Source organism: Homo sapiens, chromosome 21, assembly GCF_000001405.40.
Source record: "Homo sapiens chromosome 21, GRCh38.p14 Primary Assembly".
In the NCBI taxonomy this organism is placed as follows: domain Eukaryota; kingdom Metazoa; phylum Chordata; class Mammalia; order Primates; family Hominidae; genus Homo; species Homo sapiens.
In genome coordinates, this window is record NC_000021.9 from 45,480,069 (window position 1) to 45,503,717 (window position 23,649).

General features: G+C 60.4%; 2 protein-coding genes across 6 annotated transcripts in view, besides 2 other annotated features; one reads left to right on the forward strand and one right to left on the reverse strand.

Moving 5' to 3' along the window:
• The window catches only part of COL18A1 (collagen type XVIII alpha 1 chain), a 108,556-nt gene that overhangs the window by 74,904 nt on the left and 10,003 nt on the right, over positions 1-23,649 (forward strand). For all 3 annotated transcript variants that reach the window (NM_001379500.1, NM_130444.3, NM_030582.4), the window contains 22 exon segments: positions 2-88; positions 399-452; positions 632-790; positions 1,895-1,957; positions 2,727-2,753; positions 6,793-6,924; positions 7,379-7,441; positions 8,350-8,376; positions 9,418-9,453; positions 10,207-10,278; positions 10,768-10,803; positions 11,157-11,246; positions 12,467-12,496; positions 12,619-12,645; positions 13,095-13,157; positions 13,433-13,507; positions 14,477-14,503; positions 14,794-14,847; positions 15,290-15,364; positions 16,432-16,500; positions 16,982-17,024; positions 17,531-17,593. In NM_001379500.1, the coding sequence (NP_001366429.1) occupies positions 2-88; positions 399-452; positions 632-790; positions 1,895-1,957; positions 2,727-2,753; positions 6,793-6,924; positions 7,379-7,441; positions 8,350-8,376; positions 9,418-9,453; positions 10,207-10,278; positions 10,768-10,803; positions 11,157-11,246; positions 12,467-12,496; positions 12,619-12,645; positions 13,095-13,157; positions 13,433-13,507; positions 14,477-14,503; positions 14,794-14,847; positions 15,290-15,364; positions 16,432-16,500; positions 16,982-17,024; positions 17,531-17,593 (1,372 nt within the window).
• Positions 8,690-9,220: an enhancer, noted in NCBI's record as "NANOG-H3K27ac-H3K4me1 hESC enhancer chr21:46908672-46909202 (GRCh37/hg19 assembly coordinates)". NCBI's record gives its function as "activates a minimal SCP1, AML or CMV promoter by ChIP-STARR-seq in naive H9 embryonic stem cells {active_cell/tissue: H9 hESC(naive)}" and the evidence as "EXISTENCE:reporter gene assay evidence [ECO:0000049][PMID:30033119]".
• Positions 12,140-12,640: an enhancer, noted in NCBI's record as "H3K4me1 hESC enhancer chr21:46912122-46912622 (GRCh37/hg19 assembly coordinates)". NCBI's record gives its function as "activates a minimal SCP1, AML or CMV promoter by ChIP-STARR-seq in primed H9 embryonic stem cells {active_cell/tissue: H9 hESC(primed)}" and the evidence as "EXISTENCE:reporter gene assay evidence [ECO:0000049][PMID:30033119]".
• SLC19A1 (solute carrier family 19 member 1) overlaps positions 22,449-23,649 on the reverse strand; it is a 60,509-nt gene continuing 59,308 nt past the window's right edge. For all 3 annotated transcript variants that reach the window (XM_047440963.1, XM_047440964.1, XM_047440957.1), the window contains exon 6: positions 22,449-22,901. In XM_047440963.1, the coding sequence (XP_047296919.1) occupies positions 22,860-22,901 (42 nt within the window). In that variant the 3' untranslated portion in view covers positions 22,449-22,859. The remainder of the gene's footprint in view (positions 22,902-23,649) is intronic.

Consider the following 23,649-nt stretch of genomic DNA (forward strand, 5'->3'; position numbering starts at 1 on the left):
GGGAGACCCTGGGGTTGGAGAGAGAGGGCCCCCAGGACCCCAAGGGCCTCCAGGGCCCCCAGGACCCTCCTTCAGACACGACAAGCTGGTAAGTCCCGCCCTTGGCTTCCTGCGACCCGGGGTCTGCCCTCCTCAAAAGCAGGCACTGCCTCTGGCCCAGAAGTATCAGCTCCACCCTCAGGGGCTTGCGTGGGGTCTTGGCTGAGCTGAGGGGTCACAGGTGTGGTGGGAGCCCCCATCCACCTGCCTTCAGGCTTCTCTGGGGGCAGCAGAGGGGCCGTGGTTTCTCAGCTCCTTGTAGAAACAGCTCGATATGCAGCTTGCGGGGCAGGGGCCAGGAGTAGGCCAGGCGGGGGGCCGAGCTCAGGGCAACGTGTCTCTCCGGCTCTTTTCCTCAGACCTTCATTGACATGGAGGGATCTGGCTTCGGGGGCGATCTGGAGGCCCTGCGGGTGAGTGGCCCTTAAACTGCAGCGCTGCCCGATGTCTGTGCCCATGAGGAACAGGCCATGGACCCCCAAGATTCAGCTGGGGTCCTGTGGGGGGTGGGGATGAGGCCCGTTCTGGGGGTGGTGGTCATCCCTGGTGGGTGCCACATGGGCTGTGACTATCTGTGTTCGCCCACGTCCAGGGTCCTCGAGGCTTCCCTGGACCTCCCGGACCCCCCGGTGTCCCAGGCCTGCCCGGCGAGCCAGGCCGCTTTGGGGTGAACAGCTCCGACGTCCCAGGACCCGCCGGCCTTCCTGGTGTGCCTGGGCGCGAGGGTCCCCCCGGGTTTCCTGGCCTCCCGGTAAGTCCTGCCTCCACCGTCAGTGTCGGGAGCCCTGTCTGCTGGGAGTGAGGGGTGAACACCCCACATGGGAGCCCCTGCCCCGCCTCAGGCCTCCCCAGTCCCCGCCTCCTCACCTCATCTCCTCTAGGAGCTGGCGGGCAGTTGCTGACTCGGGGCCACCCTGGGGTGTGCGGAAGCACCTGAGTGGCCACCCCATGGTTCTAGGGGTGCTGACCAGTGGGGGTGACCGCAAGCAAGGCCTCCGACCTCTCTGGCCCTGTGGGTCCACGGACTGCACAGAGAGCGTCTCCATGAGCAATTCCCATGGGTGGGTGTGGGAGGGCCGAGGTCAGCATTGCTGGAGGGCCAGGGGAGGGAGGAGCCTGCTTGGCCAACGCGGCTCGTAGGGTCTCAGGTCCCCACGGCAGGCTCCCCACCAGCTCTGCCACACATGACGGGCAGCAGGTCATGACTGGCAGCAGGTGCCTGCCCCACCAGCTGTGCCACACATGATGGGCAGCAGGTCATGACTGGCAGCAGGTGCAGACGTGGCTGCTGTAATTGGGTCATGCTGCACTGGCATCCCGTGGCCTGGGGTCACTCGGTAGCATGCCATGACGTGCAGGGCAGGGAGTGTGGGGTTAGGTCACCCATGACATGCCCCTGCCTCCGTAACAGTCCCTACCTGAGCCAGCCAACCCTACCGATGGGCATTCACCGTCACCATCGGCTCTGAGGCCTCTCTGGGTGCCGCATGGCAAGTGCTCCCCAGAATCCATTCTGAGGGGAATTTGGGCTTAAAGAACATGCCTAATCCATATTCACGCATGTGGCCAGACTGCCTCTCAGAGGGAGCAGCGGCTACCCCAGCCCTGGTGTGCAAGCATCTTCCCGCCGTGGTGCTGTCGGCTCTGCCATCTCATCCTGCCAATGTGGCCGCGAAACTGCGGGCTACGCAGGCTGTGGGGTCTCCCGTGAGCCCTGGGACTCTGGCCCTGTGTCTGGGGAACGTTCTGTGTCCTGCCTTCTGGAAACCTGCGGAAGCCCAGATAACCTGTTAACCCAGAAATCGTTTTAGTGGCCGAATGCCATCAAGACCCACTATGCTCTGCTCTCCCCCAGGGACCCCCAGGCCCTCCGGGAAGAGAGGGGCCCCCAGGAAGGACTGGGCAGAAAGGCAGCCTGGTAAGTCTTCCCTCGAGTCCAGGGTGAGTGGGAACCAGCACCACACCATGTGGCCCGGGTCCGGGGGTGCCTGGTGACGCCCGTGAAGGGGAAATGCCAGGAATAGCCCCCCATCACAGCCCCACAGCCTGGGGCCTCGCGCTCTGGAGGTCACCCTGACCTGGGCGGCTGGGGCTTGGGTAGAAATTCATAACCCTGTGATGATGAGTGGACTCACGGGTTTTAAGAACATGGGCACCCTGCGAGATCTGAGATCTTACTCCAAGCTTCCACGTTGGTTACGGGGCAGTGGCCATGAGCCTCTGTCGGACTGACGCAAGGAGCCGGGGCCCCAGGCGTTTGTGGGTGGACCTGGCGGGAGTCGCCTGCGTCTGGCCCCCTGGGGAGCGGTCTCCAGCATGACCTCAGATGAGAGCTGCACTGCTTTGGACTGAGCAGGGGACGCGGGCTGTAAATGCCCCTCACTGCTCTAAGCCTGTGGCTGAGCTGAAGGGCCCTTCTTGGGGAGGCATCCAGGCCCCAGGCCCCACGTGTAGCCAGGTCCAGCATTGGGACCAGGCTTGGCGTCCCTTGTGGCTTCCCTTTCAGGACCCCAACCACACCAGAAAGGGGGGATGACAGCGGCAACAGCCTCAGAAACTATTAAACCGGCACAGGCAGCAAAGCAGGGACCCGGGTCGGGGCACAGTTCCTGGCAGGGCGATGTGCCTTCCTCTGTCCACTGTGCTGCAAGTCTGATTTTGTCATAATCCTGCTCTTTTCCGTACAGGGTGAAGCAGGCGCCCCAGGACATAAGGTACAAGCAGAATCCCTGGCACATCAGTCCCCTGCCCCTGGTGCCCACTCAGTGCTCGGACCCCCAAAGAGGGTGGCAGCCCCACGGTCGAGAGAGTGAGCTCTCTTGGGGCTGGCCTTGACCCCCACTCCTGCCATCTGTCCATCCGTCCTGCCGGAATCGCGGGCAGCAGCCTCTGTCACTCTGGCGAGGTGGCTTCGGCCCTTGTCACTTTTGTGATGTGGCTTCCGCCGAGCTCTGGTCTGCCGGTGAACTGAGAGTAGACGCGCCCTGGAAGCTGAGCTCATCTGGAAACAAGCTCCGTGTGGCAAGCGCGATAAAGCAGCTCCAGGAGCTTTGGGAGGAGGGGCTGGGCCACAGCAGGTGGAGAGGCTGCCCGTGGCCTGGGGAGGGCCCTGAGCTGGGCCCCCCAACATCCCCCCATAGGGGAGCCCCATCCACCCGTCCCGCAGGCTCATGAGCATCTGGGGGCACTCGGAAGGAGCGCTGAAGGCAGCCCGGGTGTCCTTGGCGGCCCTGGCCTGGCCCAGAGTCTGCTCAGACCCTCTGGACTCGGGGCAGCTGCTCTCCATGGACCCAGCCTTCCTTCGGGCAGCCTGAGGTCTGGGCCACAGCCTGCTTGACCAGACAATTTATCTGACACCCCCCCAACGACCCACTTCCTCCTTCTGTTCTGCGGAAATTGAGCTGGAGGAGGAGCTAGAACCCTGCAGAGGAGGGGCTGGGAGCCGGGTCTGGGCCTCCAGTCGGCATCTGTGCCGACCCCACCACAGACGCCCCCGGAGGTGCCCTCGAGGATCCAGGCTTCCGTGGGCCGCCCACTCGAATCATGTCCAAAACGTCAGGAGCTCCTCACCTTGGCTGGACGGGGTTGGCACTAACGGGGAACTTTCCCCAGAACATGGCCAAGCTCCAGGATGGGGGTGATGAGGGAAGGAAGGCCAGTGGGGAGAGGAGTGAGGAAGAGGACAGCTGCGAGTCAGGTGGTGAGAGCACTTGGAGAGGCTGAGAGGACATGGGCTGGGAGTGAATGCATGTGCACATACACACACACACCTCTCCAGCATATGTACACATGCACACACACACCTCTCCAGCATATGTACACATGCACACACACCTCTCCAGCATATGTACACATGCACACACACACCTCTCCAGCATATGTACACATGCACACACACCTCTCCAGCATATGTACACATGCACACACACACCTCTCCAGCATATGTACACACACACACACTTCTCCAGCATATGTACACACACACACCTCTCCAGCATATGTGCACACGCACACACACCTCTCCAGCGTATGTACACACACACCTCTCCAGCATATGTACACGCGCACACACCTCTCCAGCATATGTGCACACACACATAGGCACACACATCTCCAGCATATGTGCACACACACCTCTCCAGCATATGTGCACACACACACATAGGCACACACATCTCCAGCATATGTGCACACACACACCTCCAGCATACATGCACACACATGCACACACACATCTCCAGCATATGTGCGCACACACATACACGCACACACACATCTCCAGCATGTGTGTACACACACACACACCTCTCCAGCATATGTGAGCACACACACACCTCTCCAGCATGTGTGCACACACATGCACGCCTCTCCAGCATATGTGCACACACACACATGCACCTCTCCAGCATATGTGCACATACACATAGCCAGCACATGTGCACACAGCTCTCATGTATGTGCACGTGTATCTCTAGCATACATGCACACATGTATCTGGTGTATATGTGCAACACATGTATCTGGGGCATGTGCACACGCATCTCTTATGTGCACATACACACACATGTATCTAGGTATGTGCCCACGTTTTTCTAGCACACATGCACACACATCTCTCTAGCATATGTACACACACATGTATTTGTAGTGTGTGTGCACATCTGTGTCTCTAGTATGTGTGCATACACGTACACATGTAGGCTTTGAGTTAAGCAGGGGAGGAATATTTTGATCAACTTTAAAATCAGCAAAATTAGATATGCATGTATGAAAATAATGAAAGTTTTAAAAAAACAAAAATGTCAAGTAACATGAATGAGAATTCTAGAACCCTACAACCTAATTGTAAACCAAATAGAAAATGAAGAAAAAAGGGATGAAATTAGAAAGAGGTTTTCAACAAACCTTTTTTTGGAGACAGAGTCTCCGCAGTGGTGCAGTCTCAGCTCACTGCAATCTCTGCCTCCCGGTTTCAAGTGAGTCTCCTGCCTCAGCCTCCCGAGTAACTGGGACTACAGGCATCTGCCACCACACCTGGCTAATTTTTTTTTTTTTTTTTTTTTTTTTTTTTTTAGTAGAGGCAGGGTTTCGTCATGATGGCCAGGCTGGTCTCGAACTCCTGCCCTCAGGTGATCCACCTGCCTCGGCCTCCCAAAGTGCTGGGATTACAGGCGTGAGCCACCACACTCGGCCTAAACAAACTTTTTTATAGGCACTTTTTAAAGATCAAAAATTAGATGAGGCTGGACACGATGGCTCACACCTGTAATCCCAGCACTTTGGGAGGCTGAGGTGGGAGGATTATTTGAGTCCAGGAGTTCAAGGCTATAGTAAGCTACAATCATGCCACTGTGCTCTAGCCTGGGCAACAGAGCGAGACCCTGTGTCCAAAAAGAAAAAAAAATTAGATTTTTAAAGACGATAAAAGGATGCCAGGCACTAAGACAGATTAAAGCCAAGAAAGTAAAATCTAAGATTCTCATGAAGTTAGCCCTCAAGTTAAGTGGGTGGTACATGGTGCCCACCTGTTAAGACCCAGCGTAGCTGTTGGAGGGTGGCTGCAGTGGAGACCCAGACCTAGAAGGGAGGAGACAGGAGGCAGTCGAGGATCACCTTGGCGGGTGGAGGGCGGGGAAAGCTCTGGCTTGGAGGCCCAGCCCCTGTGGGGGACATGGGAAGCAGGAAGGACCCTTCCCCACAGAGGGGGTTTCCTTCCTCCAGCTGGGCCTGTGACCATATCAAGGCAGCGGGTCACATTCCTGCCCCATTTGTGGACAGTGCTGGGCTCACACTATCTCATTCCGCTCTGTCCCGAGCCTGGGAAGGAACCCTGGGCCTCTCCGTCTACAGCCACGGAAACCGAGGCTCAGGGAGCTTGTGGCTGCGAGGAGAGGGGTGGTTCAGCTGGGCCACGTCACAGCGGGACCCCTGCCTCAGGGCCTCCCTCCCTCACGCCCCCCACACCGGGCTCTCACCTCACACTCCAGGTGGCTGGGGCCTTGGGTCACCGATGGCTCCAGCACATGCCTCCGGGCTCGCCTGCTTCTCACGGCTTTCGGACTAATAGAGTCACCGCAATGCCTGTGTCTACCCTAGCCCCAGTGGTCCCAGGGTCCTGAGCCTCCTCTCCTCTCTCCTCTCTTCTCCCCTTGCCTGCCGGGGAGCCAGGGCTGGTCCCAGGGTCCTGAGCCTCCTCTCCTCTCTCCTCTCTTCTCCCCTCGCCTGCCGGGGAGCCAGGGCTGGTCCCAGGGTCCTGAGCCTCCTCTCCTCTCTCCTCTCTTCTCCCCTCGCCTGCCCGGGAGCCAGGGCTGGTCCCAGGGTCCTGAGCCTCCTCTCCTCTCTCCTCTCTTTTCCCCTCGCCTGCCCGGGAGCCAGGGCTGGTCCCAGGGTCCTGAGCCTCCTCTCCTCTCTCCTCTCTTCTCCCCTTGCCTGCCCGGGAGCCAGGGCTGGAGGTAACGAGGGTGCCCTGTGCACCTCCCGCTGTGCATGTGGGCCTCCCCCTGTGCATGTGGGCCCAACCCCGACCAAGTTCGGGCTCCGTGGCTCTCTCCTCAGTTGTGTTTCTGTGTGGCTGAAATCGTGTCGTAAAGTTAGAAGAAAGGCTGCTGTGGGGCCTGCGTTGCTTGGCAGAATGTTCCTTACCTTTTGATTTGCAGGGTTTAGAAAGCATCATAAGAAAACGTGTCTACGCTGGGGTTGCAGGGCCAGCGGGGGCTGGGCTGGGTCCTGACACGCTCTCCTCACCCCACGCAGGGGAGCAAGGGAGCCCCCGGTCCTGCTGGTGCTCGTGGGGAGAGCGGCCTGGCAGGAGCCCCCGGACCTGCTGGACCACCAGGCCCCCCTGGGCCCCCTGGGCCCCCAGGACCAGGACTCCCCGCTGGATTTGTGAGTACCGCCTACACCTGACCCCCTGGAGAGCCGGGGGCTGCCGTTGCCCCAGCCCTACTACCCCTGGCATCTCACTCACAGAGCAGCACGTCCTGGGCGGTGGCCTTGCTGGCACTGCCTCATCCTGGGATTCCATATTCCGCATGGTGGGGCTCGAGTCTCTCGCCCGTCGCCCGTGCCCCACGGTGCTGATGGGGATCTTGGCCCAGCCATGCCCCAGCACCCGTGCCCTGACCAAGAGCGAATGAGCTGACCCGAGACGGGCTGCCCCGGGGGGGCTCCACCCAGGCCCTGCCACCAGGTAGACAGTCCCCATCTGAGAACGGCGGCTCCCCAGGCCACCGTGGCCCCAAAGCATGTCCCACCCTCCTCTCGGGCAGTGCCACCCCAGGGAGGGGTCCTTCCCTAAGAAGGGACACAGGCCCCTACGTGTCTCGTGTGTCTCTTCCAGGATGACATGGAAGGCTCCGGGGGGCCCTTCTGGTCAACAGCCCGAAGCGCTGATGGGCCACAGGTAGTGTTGTGAGCTGGGCGTGGCCGGCTCTGAGGGGTAAGGGGGTGTTGCCTGGGGCAGGAGAGTGTCCCTGAGAGCCACCGGCCTTGCATGGGATCGGAAGCCGCCCTGCAGAGCCGTGAGGACCACGTGTGGCGGGCGCTGTGCCCCGCGGGCCACCCTTGTTCTTCGGAGATGCCCCTTCATTGAACTAAAGTCACGGGGTGAGGGCCTGGTCTGCAAAGTGGGAGACACTGTGAGTGGTCAAGACAAAGGAACACGGGGCCGCATGCCCCCTGAAAGGCCTTTCTGGGGAAATTCAAGTCATCACATTCTTTTTGTGGCCCCAATTTTTGGTAGTAACAAATGTTTGGCCTGAGTAGAATCTGAAATTCCTATGAAATCTCCACTTTCTTCTACTGTTAACATGTATACTGCTCAGGGTTAGAGCCAGCAAGGAGTGACCAAAATCCCAAAACAACTGTGCTCAGACAGCTCAGACGTGCCAGGGGCAGACCCAGGGGCCACAAGCTCCTTCCTCCCCTGCCCCCACTGTCCCCTCCACACCACCAGCGCTCTCGTGGCGCCAGCATGGAGGAGCCCCCGGGGCCACAGCCCTGCCCAAGAGACACGTGGGGTGGCTGAAGCCACAGCGTCCAGCTTCATGCTCAGAGACTCAGCCTGTTGAGAGCACGGGTGGCTGGGACACATTTCTTACTTGGAGCAAAACGAATGAGAAATTTCAATTAGGCAGAAACTAATTGATTCCATAGTAAGTTAGAATGGCTTTACCATTTTAACTTAGTACATTTCCTTTTACACACGTATTTTGAAGTCTTGACTGTTACTAGCGGGCTTTTCTTGCGGCAGACGCATCTCACAGCAGGGCCTCCAGCTGCACTAACACTGTGTCTCCTCTGCCCTGACAGGGACCTCCCGGCCTGCCGGGACTTAAGGTCAGTGACGGATATGTCTGGGTTTCTGTGGTTGCTGGCTTGGCCCTGTCTCGACATCTTGGGGCTGGGGGAGACAGGGCCTTGCCTCGGGTTTTCTGATGGCAGGAGTAGGATGAATTCATCCTGGGAAGTTTGCAAAATACAGCAAAAAAGCCTGACAGGGAAATAATCGCACACCAACCCCAACCTAGACTTCCAGCGTTAAGGGGCCATTGTCCCGTTCTCTCTCCGAAGCCCAGGAATCAAGATTCCTGGGTTCACACACCTGAAGCATATTCTCAGACTTGGGCCGAAAAGAGGGGCATAGGGGAAGAACTCAGGGTCCCCACCTCAGCCTCAGGGACAGGTGGACTCCTGGGCTCAGGGACAGAGCCGTGGTGACCTTGTAGGACCCAGGAGCTTTGTCCTCTGCTCCCCCCATCCCTGGGGGACACTAGCCCCCAGCCTGGCCCCGAAGACCCCACCCCACCCAGGCCCCGAAGCTCCCAGGGCAGGTGCCTGAGCAGGGAGCCTGGAGCCTCCTCTCCTAGGCCCTGGGCAGCAGCCGCCTTTCACCCCGCTGCGTGCTCATCAAAGCGTCCTCTGCTGCGTGCGGGGCCAAGGGCGCACGGGGCCCACCCTGGGGCTGCACTCTCACGCGTCACCAGCCCCTGCCATGGCACCTGCTCCTTTGAGCTTTGCTTTCATTTGCAAGACATCGGGACACTCAAAAGGCTGACTTATGGGAAGGGCCGTGTGTTTGCTTTCTTAAATTGTTTGAATGAGGCCGTCTCAGCGGGGTTCCTCTTGCAGTCTGCAGTCCTAGTGATGGAATATGTCCCCAGGTTCCGCAGCCGTCCCGGCCGGGTGCCTTCAGCCAGCCTGGGCCCACGGGGTCCCTGCACAAGTTGCTCAGTGTCCCTGGGACCCCTCGGCTCTGGGCTGGGGGAGGGCGGTGAGATGCATCCTGGGTAACTCACCCTTCCCTTCACCCGGGGTGGACGCTGCCTGAGGACTGGGCTGGCCCCAGCAGGTGCTCACGGAGCCCCTTTTTTCACTTAGGGGGATCCTGGCGTGCCTGGGCTGCCGGGGGCGAAGGTAAGCGCTGTGCCCGGGTTCAGGGACGTGGCCAGGCAGAGGCAGGGAGGGCCCAGCCGGACACCTGCGGAGATCAGCTCGGGGCGGCCTTCCCCGCTCTTCCTGCCACTGCTTTGTTTCTTTATAATTGAAGACGTGCTGGTTTCAAAGGCAACCCCCAGGATACCCACCTGCAGGGCACCCAACCCCAGGGCACCCCCAGGTTTGACTGCGTCAGGAACATGGCCTTCCTCCCTCCCGGCTGTCTGGCTGTGCAGGCCCCGTCGGCCCCTGCCACCGGCCTCCCGCCTCTCCCTCCTTTTCCCCGACTTCCCCCTCCCCCACACTGCCTCCCCCACTTGCCCCTCCCCCACACCTCCTCCCCGACTTCCCCCTCCCCCACTTCCACCTGCCCCACACCTCCTCCCCGACTTCCCCCTCCCCCACTTCCCCCTGCCCCACACCTCCTCCCCCACACCCTCCCCCACTTCCCCGTCCCCCACACCTCCTCCCCCACACCCTCCCCCACTTCCCCGTCCCCCACACCTCCTCCCCCACTCCCCCCGACTCCCCCCTCCCCCCGACTCCCCCCTCCCCCTGACTCCCCCCTCCCCCACTCCTCCATCCCTCCACAGCCCCTGCTCAGGCCCACAGGGGTGAGAGAGAGAAGTCCAGGCCATCGCCACGTCCACGGGTGCCCCGGACTCCTCGTGGGGGTCCCTGCATTCCTGGGCGTGTGGCCAATGCCCTGCGTCCTCCATGTGACCCTTTCAGGGAGAAGTTGGAGCAGATGGAGTCCCCGGGTTCCCCGGCCTCCCTGGCAGAGAGGGCATTGCTGGGCCCCAGGTGAGTTGCCTTGGTGGGCCCAGGGTGCAGGGGGGGCGTGGAGCCCTGAAGGGACTATGCTAAGATGAAAGCTGGCACGAGATGTGCCCTCCCGGGTCCCTGGGTCTCCATGTGCCCTCGTGGGTCCCTGGGCCTCCGTGTGCCCTCCCGGGTCTCTGGGCCTCCGTGTGCCCACTCCCGGGTCTCTGGGCCTCCGTGTGCCCTCCTGGGTCTCCGTGTGCCCTCTCAGGTCCCTGGGCCTCCGTGTGCCCTCCCGGGTCCCTGGGCCTTCGTGTGCCCTCCCAGGTCTCTGGGCCTCCGTGTGCCCACTCCCGGAGCGCCAGGAGTTAAGTATAAGTCTCCGTCAGGGCTCTTGGTGGCTGCCTCCCTCCCAGGCCCCAGCCGGTCGGGAAATAAAGAACCCCACATCTTCATCAGAGCCATCCCTCACGGGGGGCCAGGGGCTCCTGTTTCTGTTGGTGATGAACCATTTCCTTCCTGTCTCTCCAGGGGCCAAAGGGAGACAGAGGCAGCCGGGGAGAAAAGGTGAGTGTCCCTGGGGCGGGTGGATGGGGATGGGGGGCGCTGGGACATCCCAGAAGGTTTGGCCTCAGCTGCCCCAGGTCCGTGCCCCTGCTGCCCATGTGACCTCAGAGACTCAGGGCAAAGACCCTCAAGTTGACAGGGGTGGCTTTCAGGCTGGGGGCAGCGTGTGTGGCTCAACCGTCCCTGTTGGAGCCTGCCCTGCCTGGCAGGGGGCTCCAAGGCCACAGTCCACAGCCCCGGGCGCCTCCTCACCCACCGTGGGCTCTGGGCACCCCCTCCAGGGCTGGGTGGACTCTGGGGTCCTGGCCAGAGCGGTTGAGATGAAATGCCGGACGCGTGGCCTCCTCTTCCAGGGAGATCCAGGGAAGGACGGAGTCGGGCAGCCGGGCCTCCCTGGCCCCCCCGGACCCCCGGGACCTGTGGTCTACGTGTCGGAGCAGGACGTAAGGACGCTGCGTGGGTGGGCACCCAATCTGTCCAGACCCCCCACGGGGTGCAGAGATCCCTCCCCGAGCCCCCCCCACACCCCCACATCCCCCAGGTCAGGACAGGCCCTGACTGCCAGTCTACACTCCACCTCCTCGGTGGGGGCTGCAGACGCCCTCGGTCAGAGACGCCTGGGGAGCCCAGCTCCATGTGGTGTTGGAGACACCGAGGAGAGGGGAGGGCCTGCACAGGGGCCAGTGTTTTTACGTCAAAGGCTCCCATTGGGCTCACTCCCTGTGTCCTTGACACTGTGGCCCCAAAGCTGCATGTAGTCACCCAGCTGCCCCGTCAGAAGAAGCAGATGCACCCTTGGCCCCTCTGGTGAAGGTTGTGTTGGTTCCGGAACCTTCCTCCCCCACTGCGGCCCGTCCATCAGGCCTCTCAGCTGCACCCTCTGCGCCTGCCAGCAGTGCATCCCACTGGTCCCTGTGCCACCCTGGCCTCACAGAGGCAGACGCATCTCCGCCCAGCCACATGGAACACAGGGACCAAGCCCCACTCTGGGCAGGGAGCTGAGCCCTGGGCAGATGCAGGGCCCAGGGCAGCAGAGCTGGGTGTGGCCAGGGGTTCAGATCCCTGCAGAGTTCTCTGTGGCCACCAGTGGAAGGGGGGCTGCCCGGGGCAGAGCTGAGAGCAGGCACCGTCAGCTGTGTGACACTGGACAAGTTACCTAACCCTTGTGCTCCAGCTCCCCACCTAGGAGGTGGGACTCTAACAGTCTTGAGAGGAGGGGTGGAGTTGGGAACAGGCAGGAGAGGGCTTGCCCCAGCACGGCTTTGCTAGGAGCAGGCAGACAGGCATCGGGAGGCAGGGGCAGCCCGAGAGGCCACAGGGACCTCGGCGTGACGGTCAAGACATCAGAACATCAGAAAAGCCTCCCGTAGGCCGAGCCACCTCCGCCGGCAAGCAAGGGAGCGTCTAGCAGAGGCAGGAGCATTTTAAAACAAAATGGAAGTAAAAACCATGGCCCTTAGGGCGTCTGGAGTCTGCATCCAGCTGCTCTGAGCTGAGGGGCGTCTGTGCTGCAGGAGGGATGCCCCAGGCCCAGGAAGACTGGAAAGCAACATTTTCCTTGAATTTCCTGGTTTGGTGTTTTGTTGATCTGTAAGTCGCTCGAGTCCAGTTGAATTTTAAACGCGGCTCTTTGTTTCCGATTTTTCCTTTTGCTCGTGGACAGGGATCCGTCCTGAGCGTGCCGGGACCTGAGGTATGTGCCTGCCCAGCTTCTAAGAGACGGGCCTGCGGGGACCTGGGTACAAGGCTGGGTGGGGTCCGGGCAGGCGCGAGGGTGCGTGATGACCCCAGCTGACGCCGTCCCTCTTTCCCCAGGGCCGGCCGGGTTTCGCAGGCTTTCCCGTGAGTAACCTGGTGCCAGAGCTGCATGCTGCCCGGCTGGGGAGGGGTCTCCACCTGGTAGCACAGAGCAGCCCGGTCGAGCTGGGGTGGGCCTTGTCAGGCCCGAGGGATAGCGACAGTCACTGCCCCCAAGGAAATGATGGGAGTGGGATGTGGGCGAGAGCCGCTGGCAGGCCCTGTGCTGGGTGGGCACCCGTGAGGGTGAGGCAGCTCCTTGCACCTGCAGAGGCCTGCAGTGTCCAGAGTGAGGCTGGGGCCGGGAGGTGTCCTGGTGGGGGTCACCTGCGGAGGCCTGCAGTGTCCAGAGTGAGGCTGGGGCCGCGAGGGGCCCTGGTCGGGCTGTCGAGGCAGGCATATTGCGGGGGGCAGCTGTCGGGGGAGATGGAGCAGCCGTCGGGGATGGGGGAGATGCCAGCCGCTCGGGCCTCACGGCCTGGCCTCCATTCCAGGGACCTGCAGGACCCAAGGGCAACCTGGGCTCTAAGGGCGAACGAGGCTCCCCGGGACCCAAGGTAAGGGGCTCAGGTGCTGTCCCTCAACCCCCTTTGTGACCCAGGGGTGGCTCCAGCCTGCCCAGATGACCACTGTTGGGAGGGACCTGGGACCCCCCGGCTGCTGCTGTGACACGTGAGGGGTACATCCCTGCTCGGGCCGTCCCTGTGGTCACCTCCCGTGAAAGGACCCAGCCTGCGAGGCCCAGTCACAGCGGCCCTGCCTTCGGGGCTCTGGGTGAGGCTTTGTGGGGAAGGAGCTGGCCCTGACTCTGCTGGACCTCCTGCCATTCCAGGGTGAGAAGGGTGAACCGGGCAGCATCTTCAGCCCCGACGGCGGTGCCCTGGGCCCTGCCCAGAAAGGAGCCAAGGTGAGGGCCGGGCAGCCTCCTTCCGGCAGGCGTGGGGGCTCCTGGGGCTGTGGAGACAGCCTGGGGAGGGTCTTCCTGAGGGTCTGGCTCCTGATGCACGAGCCTCTCCCAAGCAGGGCTCTACCATCCAGGCCTGGCCCTGGTGGCCCCTCCTTTCTCGCACCCATGTCGGCGGTTCCGCCGGCCCCTCGTCCTCTCCCTGCCCCTCGTCCTCTCCCTACCCCTGAGCCCACCCTGCTGAGGGGAGGTTCTCAGTGGGCTGCAGCTCTGAGCTCGCGCCTCCCTGGGGCCTGGCCTGTGGGGTGCAGGAGCCCAGGCTGTACCAGCTCAGCCTCAGCAGGTTTCTGGCTGCCCCTCCAGCCTCTTCCTGGGGGCCCTGATGCTGTGGGCAGGGCCCGGAGTCAGTTCCTCAAGGGGCCTGTGCCTGCGTCCCCACCCCCAGCAGGCAGCCGCCCAGAAAAGCCCTCGGGGAGGGTCCTGGGGAGAAGCCTGGATCTTTGGAGTGTGGGCCACCGGCTCTCCCACTTTCAGAGGGAGCAGTGAGCCCTCCGGGGTGTTTGGGGTGGGCCTCAGACACAGGATCCCCAGGCCCAGTGAGAGCTCCACTATCCCACCCAGCTGTGCATTGGAGCTGGGGCCTGTGGCAACCAGGACACTGCGTGGCACATGCCCTCCACCCTCCACCCTCCACCCCTGCTTCAGGGTCCCGGGGCATGCATGCACGCACCAACCTGGACGCAAACCCCAAACCCGACCCTCCCCTCACCAGTGGCTCCTGTCCTCCCCAGGGCTGCCTGCGCCTTGGGGACGGCCCAGTGCACCCAAAGGGACCACAGCGGCCCTTAGGGAGGCTATCAGGTGGGGCACAAGCCGCCACCTAACCGTGCCTTCGCCACAGGGGCCCTCAGAGAGGCTGCCAGGTGGGGCACAAGCTGCCACCTAACCCTGTCTTCTTGTTTTTTTGCTCAGGGAGAGCCGGGCTTCCGAGGACCCCCGGTAAGTCGGTCCCTGGCTTTCTCTGCACTGAGCTCGGGCATGACGGCCCCCAAGGACACGGTCGCCCGCGGCTGCTGAGCTTGTGCTGTGCGGCCCAGGGCTCATCTCCCTAGTGCAGTTTTAAAGCGTGTGGGGCAGGTGTCGGCGTGAGGCTGCAGTGGGCTCCTCCGAGCTGATGGGTGGCCCAGGGTGCTGTGCTCTGCATGGCCCCTCCCCTTCCCCAGGACCCCCCAACTCGTGGTCAAGGGCCAGGGTCTGCCCCACTAAGCCTGGCCCCCTTCCTCTTGCAGGGTCCATACGGACGGCCGGGGTACAAGGGAGAGATTGGCTTTCCTGGACGGCCGGTGAGGACCTGGGGTCTCCAGTGGGGGCGGCAGATGGGGTCTGGCAGGTGGGGAGCAGCCCAGGCCCACGGGGGTGACATGCCCAGAGGGGAGTGGACGGCCGCCGCACCCACTGTCCTCCCCCAAGAACCGGCCCTGCCTGAGCGCAGCTCTTGTCCTGGATGTGGCTGGCAGTACCCCACGAGGGGCCAGTACCCAGGAGGAAGCCCTGGAGGCAGACAGGGCAGTGGGCCTGTGTGTGCTAGGCTCAGTCACCTCCTCCCAAAAGGGTCCTTGTGCAGGAAAGGGGTGAGAAGGGCCGGGGTAGCCTGAGAGCTGGGAACGTGTGAGGCTGAGCGTGGGCCGGCCGGGCCTGGCGTGGGGCTAACGGCAGGCACCCTGCGGGAAGGTGTCTGGTAATCATCAGTGCCCAGCAGTCCCCACCCCCTGTGCTCCGCCCCAGGGTCGCCCCGGGATGAACGGATTGAAAGGAGAGAAAGGGGAGCCGGGAGATGCCAGCCTTGGATTTGGCATGAGGGTGAGTGTCTCTCAAGGGGCGGACTGGGTGGCTGGGAGACCAGGACCTGGGAATGGCCTGGCCACAGCCTGGGGTCCTGCAGCTCCTCCCAGAGGCCACTTATAAGCAGCCCTGCCATGTGGCCACACAGCACTGGTCATGCCATACCCATGCACAGTCATACATGTCCACACACGCACACGTGTGCCCAAACATGCATGCACATATATGGCCGTACTCATACATGTGTGCACATATACACATGCATCTATGCACATACATGCCCATACACACGCGCACACATACACGCACACACACATCCACACGTGCTCATGTGTGTACACATGCCCATACACTCCACATAGGTGCACATATACACATGTATTCATGCATATACGAGCCTGTCCACGTGCACACCCATACAGGTATATACATACACTCATACATGTGCACGTATCCACATGTGTATCCACATACATGACTATGAGCCCTCCCTGGCCCATTCCATGATGGGCATACACACTGCACATGTATACTCATGCACACATACATATACACATGCATACACACCAATACACATATATGCACACATGTGCACCCATATACACACATACAACAGGCCCCTGTGGATTCTCAGCAGGGCATCCATGGGCCTGGGCCATGCCCTCCATGCCCTCTATGCCCTCCATGCCCTCCATGCCCTCCAAGCCCTCCATGCTGGGGGTTCTCCCGCTCAGCCCAAAGGTGTCCACTCTGCTGTCTTTTGAGCCAAGAGCTTTGTCTCCCTGATGTCAGCAGGGTGGGGCATTTTCAGTCACCTTTTTACCTGAGACGCAGACCCGGTGGCCTCTTCACTCCTCCCGAGGGACGTCTGTGCACGACTCCAGCGTGGGATGAGGTGGGGCCGGGGCCAGTTCCTGTCCTCAGGGAGCCGTGGCCCGAGTGACCCACTGCATTCTCGGTTTTGCCTGGTCAGAGGTCTGCCTGGTCAGGTTTCTGATTTTTCTGATTTTTCTGAACTGTCTCTGCTCCCAGCTGCTGCCTGACAGGCAGGCCATAAGCCTAACAGCTCTCTGCCCTCCCCACAGGGAATGCCCGGCCCCCCAGGACCTCCAGGGCCCCCAGGCCCTCCAGGGACTCCTGTTTACGACAGCAATGTAAGTCCCCAGGGCACCCACTGTCCTACAGCCACCCTTGGCTGTCACACAGAGCCCCACAGAGGGGCTGGGCCTTCTTCTCCCCTGGCCTCTGCGTCTGGGGGTCCTTCTAGGATGTGCCAGTCTGGTGGGCAGTGGATTAGCAGCTGAGTTCCCACGGAAGGTGAAGGCCTGGGAAAGGGAGGGCTCTCTGGGTGTGGAGCTGCTTCCAGCTGGCTCTGCTAAGGGCCTGAGCCCAGGGTTGCTAGGGGCACCCCCATTTTCCCAGGCTCAGCAAGGTGAAGTGACCAATGAGGGCCAAGTGGCGTCAGGCCGTGGCTCCTGCTCTCCGTACCCCTGTTCCCTCCCGTCTCTGACTGGGGGAGGCTGCTATGTGGCCTCATACAGGGGCTGGTGCTTCTGGGCTTGGGGACCCCTGAGTGGTGGTGGCCTCCATTTCAGAACATCGCCCTCAGCAGCCGCCTCTCCCCGTTCCTTGCAGGTGTTTGCTGAGTCCAGCCGCCCCGGGCCTCCAGGATTGCCAGGTGAGGGTCCTGGGCTCACAGCTGGGGACACAGGCTCTGAAGGGATGCTCCAGAGCCCCACCTTCCTTCCCGTGCCAGCAGCAGTGAGACTCCCCCAGTGGCCCAAGGCCAGTGCTACACGCCCAGCCCACGCCCCAGTTCCGATGACCTTGGCCCTTCCTGCGGGCCCTCCCAGCACAGCCGTCCAGGACCTGACCTTGGGGTGGCCCCCATTTGCTGTTCTCCGTTGAGATTTTGCTTCTCTGGCCAAAGCAGGGTGGAAGCAGCCCCGTCCCTCCTGTTGGTCAGCACGTGCCCTGCAGGTGTGGCCTGGCCCCCACATGGCCTGCTGACGGGGACCCAGGGCGCCCCTGCTCTCCAGCAGCTCCTACCCTGACTGTCCCCATGTCCATCTGATGCCCCCCCATCCAGGCCCCCAGGCACTAGGGCATTTCGGGCAGGAGGGGCACCACCCTGGAGTCCTCCCTGGCACATTCCTGATGGGCACTGGGTCTCTCTTCCTCCAGGGAATCAGGGCCCTCCAGGACCCAAGGGCGCCAAAGGAGAAGTGGGCCCCCCCGGACCACCAGGTGAGCAACTCTGGACATCCCAGGCAGGAGAGCCATGGCGTGGCCAGCACTGAAGTGTGGTCACACCTAGAGCCGCCACCACAAGCAGGTCCTGGACCCTCACTGGGTGGTGACCACCTCACCCTGCGGGAGGAAGGAAGCCCCTTCTGGGTTGATGGGGGCCTCATAGGACCTGGATTTGGGGGCGAGGGTGGCTGCAGGGCACAAGCCCAGCAAGATAGCCCCATCACCTCCTGAGGAGCAGATGGCTGCCCTTCCATGCTAGACCCAGGTGGGCACTGCGCAGAGACACAGCAGCTTCAGTGTCCTGAGATGCCCCCTCCCCTCCACGGGGCCGGGGGTCGGCACTGGAGGACCCTCTGTCGAGAAACTCTCCAGGGTTTCATGTGGGAAGGAGGCGTTGCCCGACAGGCCGTCTGGAGGGTGAGCCCAGCACCCCTGCTCCCCCAAAGGACAAGAATTCCCCCCTGAGCCCCACCTCCATTGAGGGTGGCAGGGCTGCTTGGATGTCCTGCCAAGACCACTGAGAACAGCTGGATAAAATGTGAGAAAACCACTGTTTGAGGATGTCTGGGGGCTGGCAGAGCAGAAGCCCAGAGAGCCAGGCTAGCCTCGGGCGCCTTTCACCACCAGGGTCCCCTCTCGCCGCCACGGTCCCCTCTCGCCGCCAGGGTCCCCTCTCACCGCCAGGGTTCCCTCTCGCCACCACGGTCCCCTCTCGCCGCCAGGGTCCCCTCTCGCCGCCAGGGTCCCCTCTCGCCGCCACGGTCCCCTCTCGCCGCCAGGGTCCCCTCTCGCCGCCACGGTCCCCGCTCGCCGCCAGGGTCCCCTCTCGCTGCCAGGGTCCTCTGCAGAGGAGGCCGCCATACCTGCTCTTGCTGGGGCTGCACTCTGGGGTGGGAAGGGACCAGGCAGGCAGAGGCCGAGTCTGGGCCGGGACATCCTTAAGGCCTGTGGAGGCAAAGGCAGGCAGAAAGCAAGCGGGAAGATGGAAGATGTGCCCATGCCAGCCTTGGATCTCTCAGCGTCACACACGACGCCCAGGAAGGAGTGAATGATGCACAGATGACCAGAAACCAGGAGAAGAGGCCAGTGACACACCAGACCAGGAGGCCCAGCTCATGGGGTCATCGGACCCACCTTGAACTCTGAAGGTCACACATTCAAAAGCCACAGGAAGTCTGGAGATGGCAGCAGAGAGCTGGGAAGCTCAGAGGTGTCAGGATGAACCTGGGGCTGAAGGCGGAACAGTTGGAGATTGAGACCTGTGTATAGGTTTTGGTCGACGTGGGATTGCTTGTCCCTGGGAGCCAGAACGAGGGCTCCGAGGGCTCTAGAGGGAACAGTGTTTGCAGGCGGAATGGCTGATGCTCTTCCAAAGCCAAGGAAGGCTCAGAGCATTCCCCTCATTCGAAGGATCAACAATTAGAGTGACGAGATTTCTCAACAAAACGGGAGAAGCCAGAAGACCATAAATGGTTTCCAAAATATCCAAGAAAGTCAATTGCCAGTGTAGACTCCGACAGCCAGTGGTACTCCCGTGGCCTTCAGAACGAGGATGACATGCAGGCCAGCCACTCCAGACCCGAGCTGTGTCGGCAGTGGAGGGTATTTCAGGGGGAAGACAAGGCCAAGGGAAAGGAGTGCAGAGATGGGGAGAGACAACGCTGGCAGGAACCGGCGTCCCAGCGACAGGGAGGTCAGAGGCTCCCTCGGGAACCAGCGTGGGCTGCCCCACATGGCATCCCAGGAACAGTGGGGTCAGAGGCTCCCGCGGGAACCCGTGTGGGCTGCCCCGCATGGCATCCCAGGAACAGTGGGGTCAGAGGCTCCCTCAGGAACCTGTGTGGGCTGCCCCGCATGGCATCCCAGGAACAGTGGGGTCAGAGGCTCCCTCGGGAACCCGCGTGGGCTGCCCCGCATGGCATCCCAGGAACAGTGGGGTCAGAGGCTCCCGCAGGAACCGGCACAGGCTGCACAGCATGGTGTCCCATCGTCAGTGCAATTAGAGGTTCCCGTGGTCTCAGCGCCCTGGGGAGTGGTGGTAGTTCTCACTATATTGGACGGTGAGGTTGGAGAGGAATGCAGAGCTAACACTGGTGGAGAGGCAGGAGGGCAGGCAGGACGGCACACACACAGGACGTTTAAAACACACAGAGTAGATCCAAAAGAAGGCAAAACATGAGAGAAAAAGGAATGCAGAACACGTGGGATGAATAGAAACTAGGGAATAAACAGTAGATTTAGGTCCCGATACATCTACAGGTGCTGTAAGTATGACGAGGGTAGATACATCCATTGAAGGACAGACATTGTCAATGGGATATGGCTAAACCATGTGCCGCTTACAAGAGACGCTCCCCGAACGTGAGGGCTGGAGAGGTCGAGGCACCCAGAGGCTGGTGTGGGTTTGGGTGTGTGTGGAGTGTGTGTATGTGGGTGTGCTGAGTGTGTGCAGTGTGGGGGTGTGGGTGGAGTGTGGAGTGTGTGCATGTGGGTGTGTAGTGTGGGGGTGTATAGTGTGGGTGTGTGTGGAGTGTGTGTGGCTGGGTTGGGTGTATAGTGTGGAGGTGTGAGGGGGTGTGTGGAGTGTGCATATGTGGGTGTTGGGTGTGTAGTGGGGGTGTGTGGAGTGTATATGTGGGTGTGTAGTGGGGGTGTGAGGGGTGTGGAGTGTGCATATGTGGGTGTTGGGTGTGTAGTGTGTGAGGGGGTGGGGGTGTGTGGAGTGTGTGTATGTGGGTGTTGGGTGTGTGGTGTGGGGTGTGTGTGGAGTGTGGCTATGGGGGTGCTGGGTGTGTAGTGTGGGGGTGTGGTTTGGTGTGTTGCGTGTGTAGTGTGGGGGTGTGGTTTGGTGTGTGTTGGGTGTGTAGGGTGTGGTTTGGTGTGTGTTGGGTGTGTAGTGTGGGGGTGTGGTTTGGTGTGTTGGGTGTGTAGTGTGGGGGTGTGGTTTGGTGTGTGTGTGTTGGGTGTGTAGTGTGGGGGTGTGGTTTGGTGTGTGTTGGGTGTGTAGTGTGGGGGTGTGGTTTGGTGTGTGTGTGTTGGGTGTGTAGTGTGGGGGTGTGGTTTGGTGTGTTGGGTGTGTAGTGTGGGGGTGTGGTTTGGTGTGTGTGTGTTGGGTGTGTAGTGTGGGGGTGTGGTTTGGTGTGTGTTGGGTGTGTAGTGTGGGGGTGTGGTTTGGTGTGTTGGGTGTGTAGTGTGGGGGTGTGGTTTGGTGTGTGTGTGTTGGGTGTGTAGTGTGGGGGTGTGTTTTGGTGTGTGTGTGTTGGGTGTGTAGTGTGGGGGTGTGGTTTGGTGTGTGTGTGTTGGGTGTGTAGTGTGGGGGTGTGGTTTGGTGTGTGTTGGGTGTGGAGTGTGGGGGTGTGGTTTGGTGTGTGTGTGTTGGGTGTGTAGTGTGGGGGTGTGGTTTGGTGTGTGTTGGGTGTGGAGTGTGGGGGTGTGGTTTGGTGTGTGTGTGTGTGTGTGCAAAGTATATCCTGGAGTAAGAAACATGGTCAAAAATAAATGTTCATTGAGACAACGGAGCAAGTCTACCAGAGAAATTGAGTAATTCTACATTTCTATGCATCTAATGAGATAGCCTCAAGATATGACAAGTGAAAAATTGGCAAAGTGAAAAAGAAAAACACAAATCAATCATTATAGGGGGACTTTCAGCCCAGGGAGATCTGAACATCAGGTCTGACAGGCGTCACCTGCGAAGGTCTCCAGGCCACGTCCCCAGCATCGGGACCGGGGTCTGCCCCAGAGGGGCCCAGGCTGGGCTGAAAGCAGGCCTGGCTTCCAGGAACTGTGACCCCACGAGTGCAGTAGAAGCAAGTGGGAAGTGCCCACAGGGCAGTGGTCTTCCACGTGGCTCAGGAATCCAGGAGAAGCAGGTGGAAGTCAGAAACCCCTGGGAGCTTAGGTGCGTCCAGGGCATCCTCAGCCCTCACACTGCAGCCGCAGGGGCCTTGCCCTGCACAATCCCCGGTCTCCCAGGTGGTGGGGCCTCCACAGCCGGTCACCTCCCTCTGCAGAAGGACCCCCAGGGGCTCCACAGCCGGTCACCTCCCTCTGCAGAAGGACCCCCAGGGGCTCCACAGCCGGTCACCTCCCTCTGCAGAAGGACCCCCAGGGGCTCCACAGCCGGTCACCTCTCTCTGCAGAAGGACCCCCAGGGGCTCCACAGCCGGTCACCTCCCTCTGCAGAAGGACCCCCAGGGGCTTCAAAGCCGGTCACCTCCCTCTGCAGAAGGACCCCCAGGGGCTCCACAGCCGGTCACCTCCCTCTGCAGAAGGACCCTCAGGGGCCTCCGCAGCCGGTCACCTCCCTCTGCAGAAGGACCCTCAGGGGCTCCACAGCCGGTCACCTCCCTCTGCAGAAGGACCCTCAGGGGCCTCCGCAGCCGGTCACCTCCCTCTGCCGAAGGACCCCCAGGGGCTCCACAGCCGGTCACCTCCCTCTGCAGAAGGACCCGGAGCAGGGCCCAGCCCGAGAGGGAGCACGGGTCCTGACAGCAGCAGTGACCTCCAACCCCAGGGACGGCTCCTGTGGGATGGGGGGCCCTGGGGGTGTGGAGCCACGTGCTCCAAAGCTTCTGGGTTACAGGGCATGCCTCCAGGGGTGAGGTGGTCCCCACCCCGGTCACGGTTTCAGGGGAACAGTCACAGGAGAAGGTTTGCCCAGGGCCGTCTAAGGTCCCACCTGGAAGGAGAAGGGGTTTTGTCATCTCCGTTGACAAAATTACAGCTTTAAGTAGTACCTGTTTCTACACATCAGCCTAAGATGTTAAAGAACAAACAGCATTTAAAGAACAACAAACAGTTATTTGATGAAAATAGATGGGAAGAAGTATTAAACATCAAAAATGAGTGAAGAGAAATTGCGTATGTTTTATATATAAAAATAGCAAGGATCAAGAAAGTCCAAAAATCCAAAGTTAATTCTTTGCAAAGGCGAACAACATTCCTGCACCTCTGCCGGGACTGAGGAAAAGGAGAGAAGCAGCAACAAGCAGGGATTTCAGCAAAGGGCTCCTCCGTGGTCTGGAAGGAGCCACCTGGAACTGCCACAGCTTCACCCTTGGAGAGGGTGGAGGGACCCTCAAGTCAGGGCCAAGACACAGCTGCCTGCCCACCCTGGGAGGAGGCAGAGGAGAGATGGGAAGGGCAGGACGCTGGGAGGAAAGAAGCGCGTTGCTCTTTTCTCAGCACGTCTCCCACGTAAGCCCCACAAGTGGATCTGCAGGTGAACTCTCAGGATGAGTAAGTCAATGTACCGAAGTCACCAGATGGAAGGGCAGTCTAGAAAAACCACCACCGAGTCCTAAGCAATTAAAAATGAAGTTTTAAAAAGGCACCATTGTGAATAATGTCGCAATAAACATACGTGTGCATGTGTCTTTATAGCAGCATGATTTATAGTCCTTTGTGTATATACCCAGTAATGGGATGGCTGGGTCAAATGGTATTTCTAGTTCTAGATCCCTGAGGAATCGCCACACTGACTTCCACAATGGTTGAACTAGTTTACAGTCCCACCAACAGTGTAAAAGTGTTCCTATTTCTCTACATCCTCTCCGGCACCTGTTGTTTCCTTACTTTTTAACGATCGCCATTCTAACTGGTGTGAGATGGTATCTCATTGTGGTTTTGATTTGCATTTCTCTGATGGCCAGTGATGATGAGCATTTTTTCATGTGTTTTTTGGCTGCATAAATGTCTTCTTTTGAGAAGTGTCTGTTCATGTCCTTTGCCCACTTTTTGATGGGGTTGTTTGTGGCACATATACACCATGGAATACTACGCAGCCATAAAAAATGATGAGTTCATGTCCTTTGTAGGGACATGGATGAAATTGGAAATCATCATTCTCAGTAAACTATTGCAAGAACAAAAAACCAAACACCGCATATTCTCACTCATAGGTGGGAACTGAACAATGAGATCACATGGACACAGGAAGGGGAACATCACACTCTGGGGACTGTTGTGGGGTGGGGGGAGGGGGGAGGGATAGCATTGGGAGATATACCTAATGCTAGATGACGAGTTAGTGGGTGCAGCACACCAGC